The sequence below is a fragment of the Homo sapiens genome, chromosome 9 (assembly GCF_000001405.40).
Source record: "Homo sapiens chromosome 9, GRCh38.p14 Primary Assembly".
Classification (NCBI taxonomy): domain Eukaryota; kingdom Metazoa; phylum Chordata; class Mammalia; order Primates; family Hominidae; genus Homo; species Homo sapiens.
The window spans coordinates 137,935,206-137,956,641 of record NC_000009.12 but is presented as its reverse complement, the minus strand read 5'-3'; the positions used below and the strand labels follow the sequence as shown (position 1 = coordinate 137,956,641).

The 21,436-nt window shown below is 47.1% G+C and overlaps 1 protein-coding gene and 1 long non-coding RNA gene across 4 annotated transcripts in view; one reads left to right on the top strand and one right to left on the bottom strand.

The window, feature by feature from the left end:
- The window catches only part of CACNA1B (calcium voltage-gated channel subunit alpha1 B), a 246,838-nt gene that overhangs the window by 167,978 nt on the left and 57,424 nt on the right, over positions 1-21,436 (bottom strand). For both annotated transcript variants that reach the window (NM_000718.4, NM_001243812.2), the window contains exons 7-8: positions 4,265-4,368; positions 829-944 (exon numbers count right to left, since the gene is read on the bottom strand). In NM_000718.4, coding sequence (NP_000709.1) covers positions 829-944; positions 4,265-4,368 — 220 coding nt within the window. The remainder of the gene's footprint in view (positions 1-828; positions 945-4,264; positions 4,369-21,436) is intronic.
- Positions 9,582-13,012, top strand: CACNA1B-AS1 (CACNA1B antisense RNA 1). Of its 2 annotated transcripts, none has more exons than NR_132978.1 (3): positions 9,582-9,758; positions 9,885-9,962; positions 11,350-13,012. It is a non-coding gene; the product is annotated as a CACNA1B antisense RNA 1 (long non-coding RNA). The 2 variants fall into 2 exon arrangements; NR_132977.1 differs by having other exon boundaries at positions 9,852-9,962.

The following is a 21,436-nucleotide window of genomic DNA, read 5'->3' as shown; positions in this document are numbered from 1 at the left end:
CGCTCTGTCACCCAGGCTGGAGTGCAGTGGCACAATCTCGGCTCACTGCAACCTCCACCTTCCGGGTTCAAGCGATTCTCCTGCCTCAGCCTCCCCACTGGGATTACAGGGACGTGCTACCATGCCCGGCTAATTTTTGTATTTTTAGTAGAGATGGGGTTTCACCATGTTGGCCAGGATAGTCTTGAACTCCTGACCTCAGGTGATCCGCCCACCTCGGCCTCCCAAAGTGCTGGGACTGTAGGCGTGAGCCACTGCACCTGGCTGCCTTATCAGCTCTTAGACTTCCAGAAGCCAGCAGGGCCCACAGCTGAGCTTTTTCTACAGGGACAGACAGTCCCCTGTGAAGAGGACTCAGCCGCCTTGTGTCTGCCCGTCCCTACCCACACGTCGCTTCCCTGAGAACAGCTGTGCCACAGGCGAGTTCATCTCTGAAGAGGCACTTGGGAAACCTTAGGAGGTGTGAGTGGATGCCCCATGTGGAGGAAAGAGTGCTGGCCTGGGGCGAGGGGAGGGAGTCCAGGCTTGACAAAACCCAGAGTCAGGGCACAGAAGGGACTTGGCTGACACTAATGGGGAGAGACCAGCTTTAGGCTGGGCCATGGCAGAGTCCTCCATTTAAAAGGCCACTGTCCTCAGAGCCATATGGCTGCCTGGTGCCAGGCCCCTGGGTGAGCTAGAGAGAAATCCCTTCTCACTCTGCTCACTACAAAATCCCTTCAGGCTCTACCCAGCAGCCAGGGCACCCCAGCTGGCAGCAGAGCAGAATTGGGGACAGAGAACTAACAGTGGCCGGCCAGGAGTGCAGTGGCTCCCACGGGCCCTCACCCGCCTTGAAGATCCACTCCAGGTACCCGTTGAGCTCTCGCTCGATCTGCTGCTGCCGGCGCAGCTTCAGGAAGGCGCGGCGGTTCTCCACCCTCTCTCGCTCCTTGGCAAACTCCCTACCATGCAGGGGCCGGAAAAGCAAGATCAGGTGAGTGCAAGCCCCACAGGTGTGCAGCCCCAGAGACAAAAAGGACCAGGGAAAGCCTGGGACAGGAGACGCAGGCTGCAGGCTGCTGCTTCAGGCAGGCCCCTGCCACCCAGGCCTCTTCTAACCTGAGCACTCCAGATGAGCACTCCAGAGCACCAGACAGCTCCCTGGGCACCCAGAGGGCCTCCATGAGCAGCCCAGGTGGCCCTCCATCCTCAGACTCCCGTGGCACTTAGGGACGGTGCCTTGGTCCCCAGAGGGGCAGTTCTAGAGAGCAGGGACAATTTCACAGCCCCTGCCTACAGCAACCTAGGCATGCGCCTCCTCCCTCCCCTTGTGCCAGGCTCTGTTATCTGCTGTCCTCCAGAGAGCTCCTGGCGAGAATTCTCCAGAGGAGAACGTTCACTTTGCTTCCTCTGTTGGTTCAGATGCAAAGCCTCTGTGGGAAGTGGGAGGGACAGACAGGGACAGGGAAGAAGGGACTGGGTCAGGGCAGGCCAGAGGCAGAAGGGTAATACCGCAGAGTCCACGTAGCCTCCTCAACCAAGCCTCTGAGGCTCACAGTGAGCAGGAGAGGAGACCTTCTGTCATTGGCCCCCGACATCTCACCCCAGCCCCGCCTGAGCCTTCACAGCCGTCATGGTGACCAGCAGAGAACACTTGCCCTTCCAGCTCAGCATCCCCAGCCCAGCCCCAGCCTCCTGGCCAAGCTTTAAGGCTCACAGTGCCAGAAGCAAGCCATTCTCTCTCTCTCTCTCTCCCCCTCTCTCTCTCTCTCTCTCTCTCACACACACACACACACACACACAAGCTTCTGAGTTGGTGGAGTGGGTGTGGCAGGTATGACTCCCAGCACACACAGCCCCGGTGCAACAATCCCCGGCTCTGACCGTGACTGACCCTGGGCGCAGGGCCAGTGTCCGCTAGGCACTGAGCTGCTACAGCCCAGGCAGTGCAAGGTGACCAGGCCTGCCCAGGTGCACCCTCCCATCTGGGCATCCCAAGTCCCAAATCTACAGGAAGGCAGGGTCCACTGTGGCCTCCCCACCCAGACCAATCCCTGTGGCCATGCCCTGAGAATGAGAGGGCCTGGGGGGCAGGGGAAGGGCAAGGACATCACTGCTTGAACTGATCTGAGAGCTCCCAGCAGCAACTCCCCCCAGCAGTCTGGCCCCCTCCACAGAGCAGCTGCTTCTCACGCAGTGGCCGGCAGCAGGGCCAGCCCTCCCTGAGCTTCTGTCCTCGCTGGGTGAGAAGAGGCAGGACAGGGGCCACCTCTTCTGCTTCTCTGGGATGCTGTGAGGATGGGAGCTCTGGGAATGGAGAGAGAGATGCCGAATTGGCCCCAAGCTGGCCCCTCCTGCAGCTCTCGCCCAGACATGGCAGAGCCGCGGCTTTTCCCACAGAGCAAGGCTGGGAAGGCGGCCTCTCACCACTGCCACCCCGGGGTGCAGGACCCACATGGGGGGTGCCAGCCCCTGGCTTGGGGGCCCTCTGCTGGGCCTGTGGGCCTGAGGGAGGGTTCAGCTGCGCTGATGGGAGGAACATCACATATCCCATTCTCCCCAGAGGCCAGGATCCTCACAGTGGGGAAGGAGTGGGAAATACCGTGCAGGCCCTGCCTTGGGCCTCCCCTCCAGCCCCTCAGGCTATTCTGCACATTCCCTAGAGGGATGCAGAAGGAAGCCCTGAGCAGGCTGCTCTCCTGCCTCCCCTTGAACCCACCTATGCTCCTGCCAGGCTTCCCACCAGGCAGCGTTCTCAGCACCTTTGGCACCAGGCAGCACCCTCAGCACAGCCCAGGCACCTCACAAGCCTGGTGGCTGCCAGCCCCCTGACAGCCCCTGTGCCCTCTCCCCACAACACCCTCTGACTCCAGCTCCAAGCATCTCTGCAACACACAGGCCACAACCTTCTGTCCACTGTGCCTCCACCCCAGCTGTTCTCTGCCTGAAAGACCCTCCTCCTTCCTTAGCCTGGCTCATTCCTAGTCCCCCAGTGGGGTCTCAGCTGAGATGTCCCTCCCCCGGTGCCTCCTCCAAGCCTCAAGCCTCCGCCAGCTACCCCGCCAGGCTAGGAGTTCTATTTCCATCCCGTGAGCCGGTCGCTTGCTGGTTCCCATGGAGGCTTTTGGAGAGGCCTGCTAATGACAATCACACCCTTTACAGGACAGGGCCAAAACCAAGGGCACGATCTCCTGCTGGAGCCCAGAGGCTTCGGCTCCAGCCATCCCCACTCTGGCTGCTCCTGTCCTGCTCAGCGTGGCAGAACTCCCAGGTTCACCAGGCTCTATCCCCAGCCTGGCTCGGAGCCGTGGGCCTGAGCAGGGATCATAGTGAGGACAGAGGGGAGATGTACTCCTCCAGCCTCACTGGGGAGCTGAGGCCAAGGTGGGAGCAGGAAGCCAGGCAGGCCTGATGCCTTCCACCTCCTTCCTAGCACAACTCCTTGCCCTGTGGTAGGGCAGGAGCCCCAAATACCAAACCCAGTCAGGCCCCATACATGGCATCTCTTCAGCTCTCAGCCCCAGGGTGGGACAGGAGGGGCTGTGTGCCCACAGGCCCACCTGGCCATGCCCGCCTACCACATCCCACTCCCAGAGAGGACTCTTTCTCCACCTTCTCCAGCATGGACCCCCAGCCCTGAGCCCTCTCTCTCACCATCCCCTGGAGTAGCTTGGCACAAAGAGGTGACCTGAGAGGAAGTGGACACCAGCAGTCAGGGCCAGGGTGGCGAGCCCAGTGGTGACTGCTACAGAGATCAGGGTGCCCCCAGTTATTTCTCACCACAGTAACAGAGGGGCTCTCTGTGGCCACAGAGGCTGCTCAGAAACCCTGTCCCAGACCACACCTCCATCTACCAAGACCACACTTCCCATCACAGACCACACCTCCCATCCACCCAGACCAACCTCCCAATACAGACCACACCTCCCATCCCCCCAGACCAACCTCCCATTACAGACCACACCTCCCATCCCCCCAGACCAACCTCCCATTACAGACCACACCTCCTGTCTACCCAGATGAGTAGTGGCAGCTACTCTCCCATGGCAGAGACCACGGAAAGGCCAGGGGTATGACAGGGATAAGGGGCCGAGAGGCTGATCAAGGACAGGTCAGGATGGTGGCACAAAGGAAGGGCTACCAGAACCCAGAACACCAGGGGCAACCACCACAGAGGGCACCCATGGGCCAGGCCCCCACCCCAAGTGTCACACGTGCCCCTGTTGACCCCTCAGCTGAGAACACAGAGGGGCACCTGCACATCCCCCACATGGTCTCTCACCCCGAGAGCACGCCCAGCACCAGGTTGAGCATGAAGAAGGAGCCGATGATGATGAGAGGGATGAAGTAGAGCCAGTTCCAGGTGTTGCCGGCCGCATCGTTTGTCTGGAAGCAAGGAGAGGGAGATGAGGAAGGACAGGGACAAAACACAGTCCCGGCCACAGGAGCACCCCCAGCCCCCAACAGGCCTCCTTCTCAGAAGCACACACCTGGTAGGGTCCAGGCAGTGGGGAGGCCAGTCACAGGGAGGTCCAAGCATGGGGCTGGAGTCCAGGCAGCACCCACAGGCAGACGTGCCCTTGCTGGCAGAGTTCTCTCTGGACTGCAGCTCCCAGAGGACCAGGGACACTCAGTGCTGCCAGCCACTGCCTGGCAACACTCAAAAGCCAAGCAGTAGGCCCAGGGAGCCACAGCAGTGTGGATGCCCCGAGGTGGCATGAGCACCCAACCTCTGCCAGACACCTCCCTGGCTACCAGACATCCTGGGCAGCTCCAAAGCCATGTCCTCCTGAAGGGGGCCCACAGGCCCAAGTCCACATCAGACCCAAGTCCACATGCAGCAGCTCCCACAGCTGAGAGGCAACAGTGGGCCCATCTGCATTTTCAGTTTCACCACATGCCTGGCCTGAGACAGCGCCCAGCACTCAGGCATGATCTGAATAGCTGAAAGCAAAGAGGGACCTTCTTTCCCAGATCTTTTGCTTTTTATAGCACAGCCCACAAAAGGGTGCGCTCCTTTGAACCCAATTTGATTCCATAGTTGTTTCATTTTTATGCATTCCCAGGGGATGTGGCTAAGGGGTGTAGAGAACCTCTTTCTCCCTGCAAGTCTGGTGCTGGAGAGAAACCAGGAGGGTGGTGGGTGCCAAGGGAGGCAGCCCCTAGTCCCGTTCCTGGACGCCTCTCTTCAGAGGCAGTTCACAAGACATGGGATGGACTCCACCAAGACAGAGGCAGGAGGACAGTTGGGGCACTGCCCTGCAGCGGGCGCTGATCTCCAGGTGCTGCTGTTGGCATTCCTGCCCTCCAGTGTCTGCCAGCCTGGCGGATTTGCAGCCTCCACCCCTGCATGGACTGAAGCTCGTGGTTCCTGACCCTTGGACACTGATTCCAGGCTGGCCCCTGAGATTCCTGGATCCGAAACCAGAAGTGACATTCAGAATCTCAGCTCCAGCTGCAGTTCATGTTCCTAGAATATGAACCACTAGACCACACCTCTGTCCGGACTCACATGCAGCTCAGATCTGTGGACTGAGTGGCCACCAAAGCCACCAACTTCCCACAAGCACACCCTCAAACCTGTCCTCCCTTCTTGAGAAAAAGGAGATATCGCTGCTGTAGCCTCAGCCCCTCTCACCTGCTCAAGCACTTGGCTCCCGCAATTTCCCTCCCCAGTGGAGTGTTCCCATCAGTAGCCAACTGGCTCTAATTCCTCTCATCTTAAAAAACAGGACTTCCACTTCTGGGAAGATGGAGCAGACATACTCTGCCATATTGTTCCCACTAGGTGGAATTAACATACTGAAAATTATTCATAAAGCAAATATAGAATGACTCTGAAAGATGGAGAAAATAGAGCAGACTAGCTAGGACCCCAGGATATAAGGTGTGTTTCTGGGGTTTTCTTCTTGCCTCTTATATCCCACATTTGGAGCTGCTGAAGCCTAAAATTTGGAAATGCCCAAGGGGCACAGACGACCAAAAAAAGTACCAGCAAAAGCCAGCTCTCCCTAACCAAGGCAGCCTAGCAGGACAGGGAGCTCTCAGACAACTCACAGAAAACGCTGGCTCCATCTCCATCCCTCCCTTCCAGCAAAGACCCAGAGGAGCACCTAGACTGCAGTGAGGCATCCGAATCCCCTCACCCTCCATGGGGTGCTGTCAGAGAAAGCCAAGTAGGAAGTGGAACGTTCCTCCTCAGCAGGGGTTATCACGGCCCCCCAGCCCAAGCCCACCTCCGCGGTACTAGTGAAGACCACACGGGACACCTTGACTTCCATTTACACAGGCAGTAGGGGCACCCCCTGCAGCTAGGGAGCTATCAGAAGGGCCTTGTGCAGCCAGGACTTTTACCACCATCCAGCAGTCACAAAGCCGCCCACCCACACACAGTGTGCAGAAATCACGTGGAGAACAAGAACAAGGCACCTCTAACCCTCCCAGCCAGGAAAGTTCCCTTGAGGCATGGTGGGGAGCCAGACCGGCCACCCCCGCCCAGCAGTAAGGAGAACACGCTACCATAAGTCAACAGATGCCAAGTGGGGAACCTAGACTTCTGCACTCACCGGCAACAAGACAGCAGCCCTCCTCCTTCCCTGACAGCCAACGCAGAATGCTTAACTGAGATCCAAGGTCCCATGCTGAAAGGCCAAAAATGGCCAGTTTTCAACTGAAACTCACTTGTCATACTAAGAACCAAGAAGAGCACCAATTTCTTAGATGCTGTGATGGTTAATGTTGTGTCAACTTAGCTGGGCCACGGGGTACTCAGATACTTGGTCAAGTACACTTGACAGTACCTTACAGATACTTCTACAAAGGTGCTCTGAGATGAGATTATCACTTTAATCCACAGAGTGAAGACCACTGCTCTCTGTAATGTGGGGTGGACCTCATTCAACCCACATTCAAGACCAACCCTCCCCTGGGTAAGGGAAAAGTCTCCAGCAGGTGCCTCTGGATTTCACCTCTGCCGGCCACCGCCATCGGGAACTGCATCATCAGCTCTCCATGTGTGGACAGCACACAAGCCCGCCAGGCAGAACCACAGATGTGGACATGCCAGCCTCTGTGATCACATGAGCCAGTTCCTCATGATAAATCTCCCTCTCCACACACACACACAGACACACATCACACACAGACACACATCACACACATGCACCACACACGACACACACATGCATACACCACACACACACACGCACACACCCCACACAAACCAGACACACATACACCATACACACACACTGGACACACAAGCGCACACACCACACACATGCACACCACACACACCAACACCAAACACACACACACTACACACCTACACGCACACCATACGTACACCACACACACCAGACACAAAGGACACGCAAACACACACACCAGACACACACACGCACCACACACCACACACATGCATACACCACACACACACTCACACCACACATACCAGACACACATACACCATACACACACACTGGACACACAAGCGCACACACCACACACATGCACAGATACACCACACACACACACACTGGACACACAGCCACCACAAACATGCACACACCACACACACACCACACACACTACACACATACTTCACACCCACACACACACCACACACGTATACACCACACACACAAAACACACATACACACACCAAACACCAGACACACAACAGACACACACCATACACATGCATGCCACACAGACCATACACAAACACACCACAGAGACACCACAAACACACGCACACCACACACATCAGACACACACACCACACACACTAGACACAAATACACCACATACACACACTAGACACAAGTGCACACACCACACACACATGCACACACCACACACACACACACCACACACATACCACATGCACCAGATACAGGCACACACCACATACACCACACACACTACACACACCACATACACCACACACACACCAGACACACACACATGCACACCACACACACCAGACACAACACACACCACAAACACACCAAATACCTTTCTCCAAAGTGTTTTTTTTTTATTCTGGGCATGTCCTTAACCTTGCCAAAATGAAATTCTGAATTGATTGAGACTTGTCTCTGATAACTTTTTGGATTACAGAACCAAAGGGAAAATTTAGAGCTAAAAAAAAAGTCGAAAATCTCAATGAAAATGCATAACAAGAGAATGAAGGGGATGTGGAAGGAATCAGTGAACAGTAAGAAAACAAAGAACGATAGAATTATCCATTCTGATAAGGAGAGAAAAGTGAACCTCAAAAACCCATGGGACTATAACAAATGATCTGATATTCATGTCATCAGAGCACTAAAGACAGGTGAAAAAGGACAAAGCTGACAGTATTTAAAGAAATACGGCCAGGCGTGGTGGCTCACACCTGTAATCCCAGCACTTCGGGAGGCCGAGGCAGGCAGATCACCTGAGGTCAGGAGTGCGAGACCAGCCTGGCCAACATGGCGAAACCCTGTCTCTACTAAAAATACAAACGTTAGCCAGGCATGGTGGTGCATGCTTGTAATCCCAGCTACTCCACAGCCTGAGGCAGGAAAATCGCTTGAGCTTGGGAGGCGGAGTTTGCAGTGAGCCGAGATTGTGCCACTGCACTCTAGCCTGGGTGACAGAGTGAAACTCCATCTCAAAAAAAAAAAAAAAAAAAAAAAGGAATGCTGAAAACTTCTCAACTTTAGCAAGAGACACAAACATACAGATTTAAGAAGCTCAGCAAACCCCAGGCAAACACATTATAGCCAAACTTCTGAAAACTAAAGACAAAGAAAAAATCTTGAACGCAGCAGAAAAAAATGATACCATACCTATATGGGGAAAACAATTCAAATGGTTTCTCATCAGAAACCATGGAGGCCAGAAGGAAGTGGCATAATATTTTTCAGGTGCTGAAAGAAAAGAACGGTCAACCCAGACACCTATACCCACCAAGAATATCCTTTGGGAAATCAAGACATTCTCAAATGAAAAACTAGGGAAACCAGGAGAATTTGTCACCAGCAGAACTCTCCTAAGAAAAAATGAATAATGAAAGGTCTCTAAACAGAAAGGAAATGAGTAAAAATTGAATCACTATTAGGAAGGAAGGAAGAAAAATGGAAAGTGTAAAAATATAGGTAACTGGATTTGTTTCTCCTTTTGAGTTTTTTAAATTATGTTTGACAGATGAAGCAAAAATTATAGTACTATTGAGGCAGAAGAATAGGGTCTGGAGGCAGGGACCCTAAGGCCGATTTGTGCTGACTTCCTAGAACTGAATCAAAAGGAAAACACCACTCCACATCCAAGTAACAAAAGAACAGCAGCTACTCCCTTTGCGGCCCACCCCCCTTCCACTGTGTCACAGATGAAAAAATGGAAAGTACCTCTGATTGGTCACCTCCCACAACCAATCAGGCTGCTCGTGGGCCAAGTCTTCATTAGCATAGGGTTTAACTTTATAACTTCACTTCAGCCTTTGATTGGTTGCCTCCTGCAACCAATCAGACTGGTAGCAGGCCCAGTCTTCATTTACATAGAGTGTAACCAAGTAACCAATGGGAAACCTCTAGAGAGTAGTTAAATTCCAGAAAATTCTGTAACTAACACTCTTGAGCAACTTGTTTGAGCCCACTCCCACTCTGTGGAGCATAGTTTCAATAAGTCTGTGCTTTCACTGCTTCATTCTTTTGTTGTTTTGTGCATTTTGTCCAATTCTTTGTTCAAAATGCCAAGAACCTGGATGACTCATAGTCAAGACCCCCCCGGTAACGTATTTTGGCAAGCCAGCCAGGAGGCAAGCCCAAAGTTTGGGAGTTATTTTTCTTCTCATTTTCCCTTTTCCTCTCTGCTCCATACAGGGGAAGCATTTTCTGTCTCTCTTTCCAACTCAGGACACTTGACAGAGAGCACCTAAGCATGGAGGCAACTGCAGGTCTCTGGCTGGGGCCACTCTACGGAGAGACTGAAAGGTATCCATATGGAAGCACCTGACCACCACTGCCTGGTTCACATGAGGGACCTGAGTCCTTTCCCTTTTTTTTTTTTTCTCAGTTTTTCAGCAGTCATTTCCTAGTAGCTCCCCAGTAACTGAGGGCAACTTGCTGGGGCCACTCTCCAGTGTTACCTGAAGGCCGAGGAATGATAGGGATAGCTGCCCTGCCTGGAAGGGGGAAGGACTCTTTTCTGTCTTTCCTGGTTATACTCCCTGATCCCTACGTGTGACACAATTGGCAGTGGCAGCTTGTCAAGGAGGAATTCACACATTTCAGGGAACTTAAACCCTCTTTTCTTATGCTAAATTCTCCTGTAGAGTTAGCTAGTAAAGACAAAAGATAATGTCTCCTAGGCATTTTGACCCCTTCTCTTACTTGATCTATTCGACTGGCTAAGGACAAAAGAAACCCACTTAGCCCCCTAGCTATGCAAAGAAGTTTATACATAAAAGAGATTTTATATTATATAAAAAGGCATCTTGTATGGTAAATTCTTGTCCTAAAGTAAAATGACTGTTGTTTTAAAAGAGGGATATGACTGGGTGCAGTGGCTCACACCTGTAATGCTAGCACTCTGGGAGGCCAAGGCAGGTGGATCACGAGGTCAGGAGTTCGAGACCAGCCTGGCCAATATGGTGAAACCCTGTCTCTACTAAAAATATAAAAAAAATTAGCCAGGCACAGTGATGCACGCCTGTTGTCCCAGTTACTTGGGAGGCTGAGGCAGCAGAATTGCTTGAACCTGGAAGGCGGAGGTTGCAGTGAGCTGTGATGGCATCACTGCACTCCAGCCTGGAATATGATAATAATAATAATAAAAGTAAAGAAATAAAATAGGGATGTTTAGGACAAGTAACAAAGTCCAAGCATGTCGTAGATGATCTGGGTAAGTCGTGAAAAAGATTTGTGAAAGTGAAATTATGCAAGAAATGTTGTATAATTTATGTTGCCTAAGTTTAGAGGGTTAAAGGATTGTTTTAAGTGGTATAGGAAAAATCCAAAGGTTTGAACAAGTTGTAGGCTTATGAAAATTAATTGTAAAAGAGATTCTGTGTATGAACATATTGGCTGAAGTTAAAAGCTTGGCCTTATCAAATTATAAGGATGCTAGAAGTCGGGGCCTTCAGCCAGGGACAAGAGGAAACTCATAGTGGGCCACTGATTGTGAAGGGAACCGTTCCAAAGTGGTGCTGGCACCCATCTAAGGTCAGACATATCTGACAAACTAAGATGGGGCCCCAGAGGTGGGGATGCCCTTGGGAACCGCAGACAAGACCCAGAGTTTTTCCAGATGGCCACCCCAGGTAAAATCTGGGTCACCTAGTAGGACCTCCACTTTTGAAAGTCCTCTTCTCTCTTCCAGACCACTGTGGGCAACTCTCCATCCATTCCCTCTGATTCCCTGCTTGGCTGCATCATCAACCACTGGAATCAGTTGAACCCTGACAATCTAAGGAGAAAACGTCTGATTTTCTACTATAATACTGTATAGCCCCAATATCAGCTGGACAGCCAGGAATAATTGGTGGTCATGGGAAGTCTTAATTACAACACCATCCTGCAATTAGACCTGTTTTGCAAAAGGCAGGGTAAATTGTCAGAAATCCCATACGTACAGGTCTTCATGGCCCTATACCAAAACCCAACAATCTGCAAAAGTCCTGGAACCTGCCCTGAAAAGGAAGGTCTTAAGGCAGAACTAGATATTGTAGATGACCCCCTTTTACAAAGGCCACCTGTCTCTCAGAGGGAAGTGCAACCACCCCTGTATAACTCCTTGCCAAGTGCTCCTGAGGCTCAAACCCAAGAGCAAAATTCGGGGTTCCAGCTAAGTCCTCCTCATATTTGGAGAGAAACAATCTCCCCCTCCAGCCCTGCTACCCCTTAGGGAAGTAGCAGGAGCTGAGGGGCCAGTCCTAGTGCAGTCCCCCTTTTCTATAACTGATATAAAACAACATACAGAAAAGCTAGGAAGCTATTCTGAGAACCCTAGGAATTTGGAGATGGGTCCCAAACTTTGACCTTAGCCTTTGATCTCTCAGGGGAGATGTTCAATTCATTCTAGCAACCTATTGCAGCCCCTTGGAAAAGAAACAAATCTTTGAGGCTGCCCGCCAGGAAGCAGATGACTTATTTCCTTGAAACTCTCAGGGCAATCACTTAGGCCCAGACATAATCTCCATTACTGATCCTAATTGGGACTATAACACACCCGAGGGAATGAACCACCAGGCTAAGTTTCTTGAGGCTCTCCTTGGAGGAAGAGAAAGAGAATAAGGCAGTAAATTATGATAAGGTAAAGGAAGTTACACTGGGCAAGAAAGAAAATCCAGCCATGTTTCATGGCAGACTGGAGGAAGCCTTTAAAAAATATACTAATCCAATCTGCCCCAGACATTAGATATAAGCTCCAAAAGCTACAGATGGGCCCACAAACTAATCAAAATCAGCTTCTTGATATTGCTTTCATGATGTATAACAATCATGAAGGAAGGAAAAGGGGAACAGAGTAAAGAAAAATGGCAAGCAAAAATTATGACAGCCATCACTGGCAATGCCCTGAATGCCCAAAGAGCACGCAAAGGAAACCCAAAGGGCCATAAGGACAATGCCAGCCTGTAGAGGATACAAGATTTGTTAGTACTAATAGACACCTGTAGGGAGCTGAAGGCCAGAGAGACATGACCAACTCAGTATTCCACTGGAGGTTATATGATCAAACAGCAAACTTGTTTATCATGAAAGCAGGATGTGGGCAAACTCATGACTGTGCCTGCAACCAGGAGGTTTGCTGAGGGCAATCACTCCCTGGCACCGTGCTCATTGCGGTTACCTACTGGGACATCTAGAGCCTATTGTTCAAAGAATGCGGTCTTGCAAGCCTGCTGTGAATCAAACTGCCTGCTGACAACCACCCCCTCCTCTTCTCGCTATCTCTTTTGCCTAATAAATACGGAGGGCTGTGTAAAGCTCAGGGCCCTTGTTCACTAGAAGCAAGGAGCCCCCTGACCCCTTCTTCCAAATATACTCTTTGTCTTTATCTTTATTCCCGCATTCGTCATCCTTTGTTCAGTCCCCCAAGGTCCGTGCAGGTTACAGATACCTTTACTGGCTGGATTGAAGCTTACCCTACACCAAAACACAGAAGGCCAATGAAGTTGTGAAGGTTCTTCAAAGAACTATTTCCCGAGTTTGGGTTACCTCAAAGCCTCCAAAGTGATAATGACTCGTTCTTTATCTCTCAAATAATTCAAGGGGTTGCTAAGGCTCTCAGAATCAAATACTATTTACATTCAGCATGGAGGCCTCAATCCTCTAGAAAAGTGGAAAGAGCTAATCAAACTCTAAAATGGGTGTTAGCTAAGCTATGTCAGGAAACATCAGAAACTTGGGTCAACTTGCTGTCCACAGCTCTCGTAAGAGTCCATAATTTCCCCAGAGCAAAAATTAATATGAGCCCATATGAAATGTTATATAGGAGGCCATTTTTAACTAATGATCTAAATACTGATCCAGAAACAGCCACTTTAGTGAAATACCTAGTTAACCTGGGACCATTTCAGCAGGCTTTACAAAAGTTTGAAACTCAAAAAAAAAAAAAAAAAGTTTGAAACTCAAAGACTCCCCACACTGGCAACTAACCAGCAACCCAAAATCAGGCCAGGAGATAAGGTACTTAAAAAAAAATTTATTTCCATAGGTTATTGGGGAACAGATGGTGTTTGGTTACATGCGTAAGTTCTTTAGTGGTGATTTATGAGATTTTCGTGCACCTATCACCCAAGCAGTGTATGCTGCACACAATTTGTAGTCTTTTATCTCTCACCCCACCCTTTCTTCCTGAGTCCCCAAAGTCCACTGTGTCATTCTCATGCCTTTGCATCCTCACAGCTTAGCTCCCACTTATGAGTGAGAACATACGACGTTCGGTTTTCCATTCCTGAATTACTTCACTTAGAATAATAGTCCCAATCTCATCAAGGTCACTGTGAATGCCACTAATTCATTCCATTTTATGGCTGAGTAGTAGTCCATCATATATATATCACAGTTTCTTTATCCACTGGTTGACTGATGGGCATTTGGGTTGGTTCCACATTTTTGCAATTGCAAATTGTGCTGCTGTAAACATGCGTGAGCAAGTCTCTGTTTCATATGACTTATTTTCCTCTTGGTAGACACCAACTAGTGAAATTACTGGATCAAATGGTAGTTTTACTTTTAGTTCTTTAAGGAATCTCCACATCGTTTCCCATACTGGTTGTACTAGTTTACATTCCCACCAGCAGTGTACAACTGTTCCCTGTTCACCGCATCCATGCCAATATCTATTATTTTTAAATTTTTTTATTACCACCATTCTTGCAGGAGTAAGCTGGTATCACATTGTAGTTTTGATTTGCATTTCCCTAATCATTAGTGATGTTGAGCATTTTTCCATGTTTGTTGGCCATTTGTATATCTTCTTTTGAGAATCGTCTATTCATGTCCTTAGCCCACTTTTTGATGGGATTTTTTTTCTTGCTAATTTGTTTGAGTTCATTGTGGATTCTGGATATTAGTCCTTTCTCAGATGTATAGATTGTGAAGATTTTCTCCCACTCTGTGGGTTGTCTGTTTACTCTGCCGACTGTTTCTTTTGCTGTGCAAAAGTTCTTTGATTTAATTAAGTCCCAGCTATTTATCTTTTTTGTTGTTGTTGCATTTTCTTTTGGGTTCTTGGTCATGAAGTCCTTGCCTAAGCCAATGTCTACAAGGGTTTTTCCAATGTTATCTTCTAGAATTTTTATAGTTTCAGGTCTTAGATAAGTCCTTGATCCATCTTGAGTTGATTTTTTATAAGGTAAGAGATGAGAATTCAGTTTCATTCTCCTACATGTGGCTTGCCAATTATCCCAACACCATTTGTTGAATAGTGTGTCCTTTCTCCACTTTTATCTTTTTGCTTGCTGTAAGTATTTGGGTTTATTTCTGGGTTCTCTATTCTGTCATTGGCCTATGTGCCTATTTTTATACCAGTACCATGCTGTTTTGGTGACTATGGCCTTATACTATAGTTTGAGGTTGGGTAATGTGATGCCTCCAAATTTGAGAGGAATGAGGGTGGTATTTTGATGGGAACTGCATTGAATTTGTAGACTGCTTTTGGCAGTATGGTCATTTTCACAATATTGATTCTACCCATCCATAAGCATGGGATGTGTTTCCATTTGTTTGTGTCACCTATAATTTCTTACAGCAGTGTTTTGTAGTTTTCCTTGTAGAGGTCTTTCACCTCCTTGGTTAGGTATATTCCTAAGTTTTTTGGCTTTCTGTTTTTTGTTTGTTTTGCAGCTATTGTAAAAGGGGTTGAGTTCTTGATTTCATTCTCAGCTTGGTCACTGTTAGTATATAAAAGAGCTACTGATTTGTGTACATTAATTATGTATCTGGAAACTTTGCTGAATTCTTTTATCAGTTCTAGGAGCTTTCTGGAGGAGTTTTTAGGGTTTTCTATGTAAACAATCATATCATCAGCAAACAAACAGCGACAGTCTGACTTCCTCTTTCCCAATTTGGATAACCTTTCTTTCTTTCTCTTGTCTGATTGCTCTGGTTAGGACTTCCATTACTATGTTGAAGAGGAGTGGTGAGAGTGAGCATCCTTGTCTTCTTCCAGTTCTCAAAGGGAATGCTTTCAACTTTTCCCCATTCTGTATTATGTTGACTGTGGGTTTGTCATAGATGACTTTTATTACATTGAGGTATGTCCTGTGTATGCCGATTTTGCTGAGGGTTTTAATCATAAAGGATGCTGAATTTTGTCGAAGGTTCTTTCCACATCTATTGAGATGATCATGTGATTTTTGTCTTTAATTGTTTATGTGGTGTATCACATTTATTGACTTGAGTATGTTAAACCATCCCTGATCCCTGGTATGAAAACCATGTGATCATGGTGAATTATCTTCTTGATATACTGTTGTATTCAGTTAGCTAGTATTTTGTTGAGGATTTCTACATCTATGTTCATCAGGGATATTGGTTTGTAGTTTTCTTTTTTGGTTATGTCCTTTCCAGGTTTGATATTAGGGTGATACTGGCTTCATAAAACGATTTAGGGAGGATTCCCTCTTTGTCTATCTCATGGAATAGTGTCGATAGGATTGGTACCAATTCTCTTTGAATGTCTGATAGAACTCTACTGTGAATCCATCTAGTCCTGGAGTTTTTTGGTTGGTAATTTTTTTATTACCATTTCAATCTCACTGCTTGTTATTGGTCTGTTCAGGGTATCTAATTCTCCCTGATTTAAGCTAGAAGGGTTGTATCATTCCAGGAATTTATCCATCTCCTCTAGGTTTTCTAGTTTACATGGGTAAAGGTGTTCACAGTAGCCTTGAAAAATCTTTTGTATTTCTGTGGTGTCAGTTGTAATATCTCCCATTTCATTTCTAATTGAGCTTCTTTGGATTTTCTCTCTTTTTTTCTTGGTTAAACTTGCTAATGGGCTACCAATTTTATTTACCTTATCAAAGAACTAGCTTTTTGTTTCATTTATCTTTTGTGTTTTTTTGTTTAAGTTTCATTTAGTTCTGCTCTGATCTTGGTTATCTCTTTCTTCTGCTGGGTTTGGGTTTGATTTGTTCTTGTTTCTTTAGTTCATTGAGGTGTGACCTTAGATTGTCTGTTTGTGCTCGTTCAGACTTTTCGATGTAGGTATTTAGGGCTATGAACTTTCCTCTTAGCACTGCCTTTGCTGTATTCCAGAGGTTTTGGTAGGTTGCGTCACTACTGTCATTCAGTTCGAAGAATTTTATTTTTTTTTATTTATTTATTTATTTATTTATTTATTTATTTATTTATTTATTTTGAGACGGAGTCTTGCTCAGTTGCCCAGGCTAGAGTGCAGTGGCGTGATCTCAGCTCACTGCAAGCTCCGCCTCCCGGGTTCATGCCATTCTCCTTCCTCAGCCTCCTGAGTAGCTGGGACTACAGGTGCCTGCCACCATGCCCAGCTAATTTTTTTTTTGTATTTTTGGTAGAGACGGGGTTTCACCATGTTATCCAGGATGGTCTCGATCTCCTGACCTCGTGATCCACCTGCCTCAGCCTCCCAAAGTGCTGGGATTACAGGTGTGAGCCACCACATCCGGCCTCAGTTTGAAGAATTTTTAAATTTCCGTCTTGATTTCATTTTTTGACCCAATGATCATTCAGGAGCAGGTTATTTAATTTCCATGTATTTGCATGGTTTTGAGGGTTCTTCTTGGAGTTGACTTCCAGTTTTATTCCACTGTGGTCTCAGAAGGTGCCCGATATAATTTCAATTTTCTTAAATTTATTGAGGCTCATTTTGTGGCCTATTTATATGGTTTATCTTGAAGAGAGTTCCATACACTGATGAATATATATTCTGTAGTTGTTGGCTAGAATGTTCTGTAAATACCTGTTAAGTCCATTTGTTCCAGGGTATAGTTTACATTCACTGTTTCTTTGTTGACTTTCTGCCTTGATGACCTGTTAGTGCTGTCAGTGGAGTACTGAAGTTCCCCACTATTATTGTGTTGCTGTGTATCTCATTTCTCTCTCTTTTTTTTTCTTTTAGGACAGAATCTCGCTCTGTCACCCAGGCTGGAGTGCAATGGCACTATCTTGCCTCACTGCAACCTCCACCTCTGGGTTCACGCCATTCTCCTGCCTCAGCCTCCCAAATAGCTGAGATTACAGGAGCCTGCCACCACACCTGGCTATTTTGTATTTTTAGTAGAGACAGGGTTTCACCATGTTGGCCAGGCTGGTCTCAAGCTCCTGACCTCAGGTGATCCATCCACCTCGGCCTCCCAAAGTGCTGGATTACAGGCATGAGCCACTGTGCCTGGCCTGTCTATCTCATATCTTAGGTCTACTAGTAATTGTTTTATAAATGTGGGAGCTCCAGTGTTAGGTGCATATATATTTAGGATTGTGATATTTTCCTGTTGTACAAGGCCTTTTATCATTATATAATGTCCCTCTTTGTCTTTTTTAACTGTTGTTGCTTTAAAGTTTGTTTTGTCTGATATAAGAATGGCTACTCCTGCTTGCTTTTGGTGTCCATTTGCATGGAAAGTCTTTTTCCACACCTTTACCTTAAGTTTATGAGTCTTATGTGTTAGGTGAGTCTCTTAAAGGGAGCAGATGGTTGGTGAATCCTTATGCATTCCACCATTCTGTATCTTTTAAGTGGAGCATTTAGGCCATTTACATTCAACATTAATATTGAGATGTGAGATACTATTCTAGTCATCATACTACTTGTTTCCTGAATACCTTGGGTTTTTAAAATTGTTATTGTTATATAAATCCTGTTGGATTTATGCTTTAAGGAGGTTCCATTTTGGTGTATTTTGAAAATTTGTTTCAAGATTTAGAGCTCCTTCTAGCAATTCTTGTAGTGCTTGCTTGGTAGTAGCGAATTCTCTCAGCATTTGTTTGTCTGAAAAAAACTATCTTTCCATCATTTATGATGCTTAGTTTTGCTGGATACAAAATTCTTGGCTGATAACTGTTTTGTTTAAGGAGGCTGAAGATAGAGCCCCAATCCCTTCTAGCTTGTAGTGTTTCTGTTGGGAAATCTGCTGTTAATTTCATAGATTTTCCTTTATAGGTTACCTGGTGCTTTTGGCTCATAGCTCTTAAGAGTCTTTCCTTTGTCTTTTTTTTTTTTTTTTTTTTTTTTTTTTTTTGAGACAGAGTTTCATTCTTGTTGCCCCGGCTGGAGTGCAATGGTGCGATCTTGGCTCACCACAACCTTCGCCTCCCAAATTCAAGCGATTCTCTTACCTCAGCCTCCCGAGTAGCTGGGATTACAGGCGTGCACCACCATTCCCAGCTAATTTTTTCTATTTTTAGTAGACACGGGGTTTCTCCATGTTGGTCAGGCTGGTCACAAACTCCCAACCTCAGGTGATCCGCCCACCTTGGCCTCCCAAAGTGCTGGGATTACAGGTGTGAGCCACAGCACCCAGCCTCCTTCATCTTAACTTTAGATAATATGATGACAATGTGCCTGGGAGATTATCTTTTTGCAATGAATTTCCCAGATGTTCTCTGAGCTTCCTGTATTTGGACATCTAAGTCTCTAGCAAGGCTAGGGAAGTTTTCCTTGATTATTTCCCCAAATACATTTTCCAAATTTTTAGATTTCTCTTCTTCCTCAGGAACGCCAATTATTCTTAGGTTTGGTCGTTTAACATAATCCCAGACTTCTTGGAGGCTTTGTTCATATTTTCTTATTCTTATTTCTTTGCCTTTGTTAGATTGGGTTAATTCAAAAACCTTGTCTTCGAGCTCTGAAGTTCTTTCTTCTGCTTGTTCAATTCTATTGCTGAGACTTTCCAGAGCATTTTACATTTCTCTAAGTGCATCCATTGTTTCCTGAAGTTTTTATTGTTTTTTATTTATGCACTCTATTTCATTGAAAATTTACCCCCTCAAGTGAAGGACCTCTTCAAGGAGAACTACAAACCAGTGCTCAATGAAATAAAAGAGGACGCAAATAAATGGAAGAACATTCCATGCTTGTGGATAGGAAGAATCAATATTGTGAAAATGGCCATACTGCCCAAGGTAATTTATAGATTCAATGCCATCCCCATCAAGCTACCAATGACTTTCTCCACAGAATTGGAAAAAACTACTTTAAAGTTCATATGGAACCAAAAAAAGAGCCCACATTGCCAAGGCAATCATAAGCAAAAAGAACAAAGCTGGAAGCGTCACGCTACCTGACTTCAAACTATACTACAAGGCTACAGTAACCAAAACAGCATGGTACTGGTACCAAAACAGAGATACAGACCAATGGAACAGAACAGAGGCCTCAGAAATAACACCATACATCTACAACCATCTGATCTTTGACAAACCTGATAAAAACAAGAAATGGGGAAAGGATTCCCTATTTAATAAATGGTGCTGGGAAAACTGGCTAGCCATATATAGAAAGCTGAAACTGGATCCCTTCCTCACACCTTATACAAAAATTAATTCAAGATGGATTAAAGACTTAAATGTCAGACTTAAAACCATAAAAATCCTAGAAGAAAACCTAGGCAATACCATTCAGGACATAGACATGGGCAAGGACTTCATGACTAAAACACCAAAAGCAATGGCAACAAAAGCCGAAATAGATGGGATCTAATTAAACTAAAGAGCTTCTGCACAGCAAAATAAACTACCATCAGAGTGAACAGGCAACCTACAGAATGGGAGAAAATTTTTGCAATCTACCCATCAGACAAAGGGCTAATATCCAGAATGCACAAAGAACTTAAACAAATTTACAGGAAAAAATCAAACAACCCCATCAAAAAGTGGGCAAAGGATACTTTTCAAAAGAAGACCTTTATGCAGCCAACAGGCACATGAAAAAACGCTCATCATCACTGGTCATCAGAGAAATGCAAATCAAAACCACAATGAGATACCATCTCACACCAGTTAGAATGGCGGTCATTAAAAAGTCAGGAAACAGCCGGGCGCAGTGGCTCACGCCTGTAATCCCAGCACTTTGGGAGGCCGAGGCGGGCGGATCACAAGGTCAGGAGATCAAGACCATCCTGGCTAACACGGTGAAACCCCGTCTCTACTAAAAAATACCAAAAATTAGCCGGGCGTGGTGGCAGGTGCCTGTAGTCCCAGCTACTCAGGAGGCTGAGGCAGGAGAATGGCGTGAACCCAGGAGGCAGAGGCTGCAGTGAGCCGAGATCGTGCCACTGCACTCCAGCCTGGGCGACAGTGAGCCAAGATCGTGCCACTGCACTCCGGCCTGGGCGGCAGTGAGCCGAGATCATGCCACTGTACTCCAGCCTGGGCAACAGAGTGAGACTCCGTCAAAAAAAAAAAAGAAAAAGTCAGGAAACAGCAGGTGCTGGAGAGGATGTGGAGCAATAGGAACGCTTTTACACTGTTGTTGGGAGTGTAAACTAGTTCAACCATTGTGGAAGACAGTGGGCAATTCCTCAAGGATCTAGAACTAGAAATACCATTTGACCCAGTGATCCCATTACTGGGTATATACCCAAAGGATTATAAATCATGCTACTATAAAGACACATGCACACATATGTTTATTGTGGCACTATTCACAATAGCAAAGACTAAGAACTAACCCAAATGTCCATCAATGATAGACTGGATTAGAAAAATGTGGCACATATACACCATGGAATACTATGCAGCCATAAAAAAGGATGATTTCATGTCCTTTGTAGGGACATGGATGAAGCTGGAAACCATCATTCTGAGCAAACTATCGCAAGGACAGAAAACCAAACACCGCATGTTCTCACTCACAGGTGGGAATTGAACAATGAGAACACTTGGACACAGGGCAGGGAACATCACACGCCGGAGCCTGTCATGGGGTGGGGGGTATGGGGGAGGCATAGCATTAGGAGAAATATGTAATGTAAATGATGAGT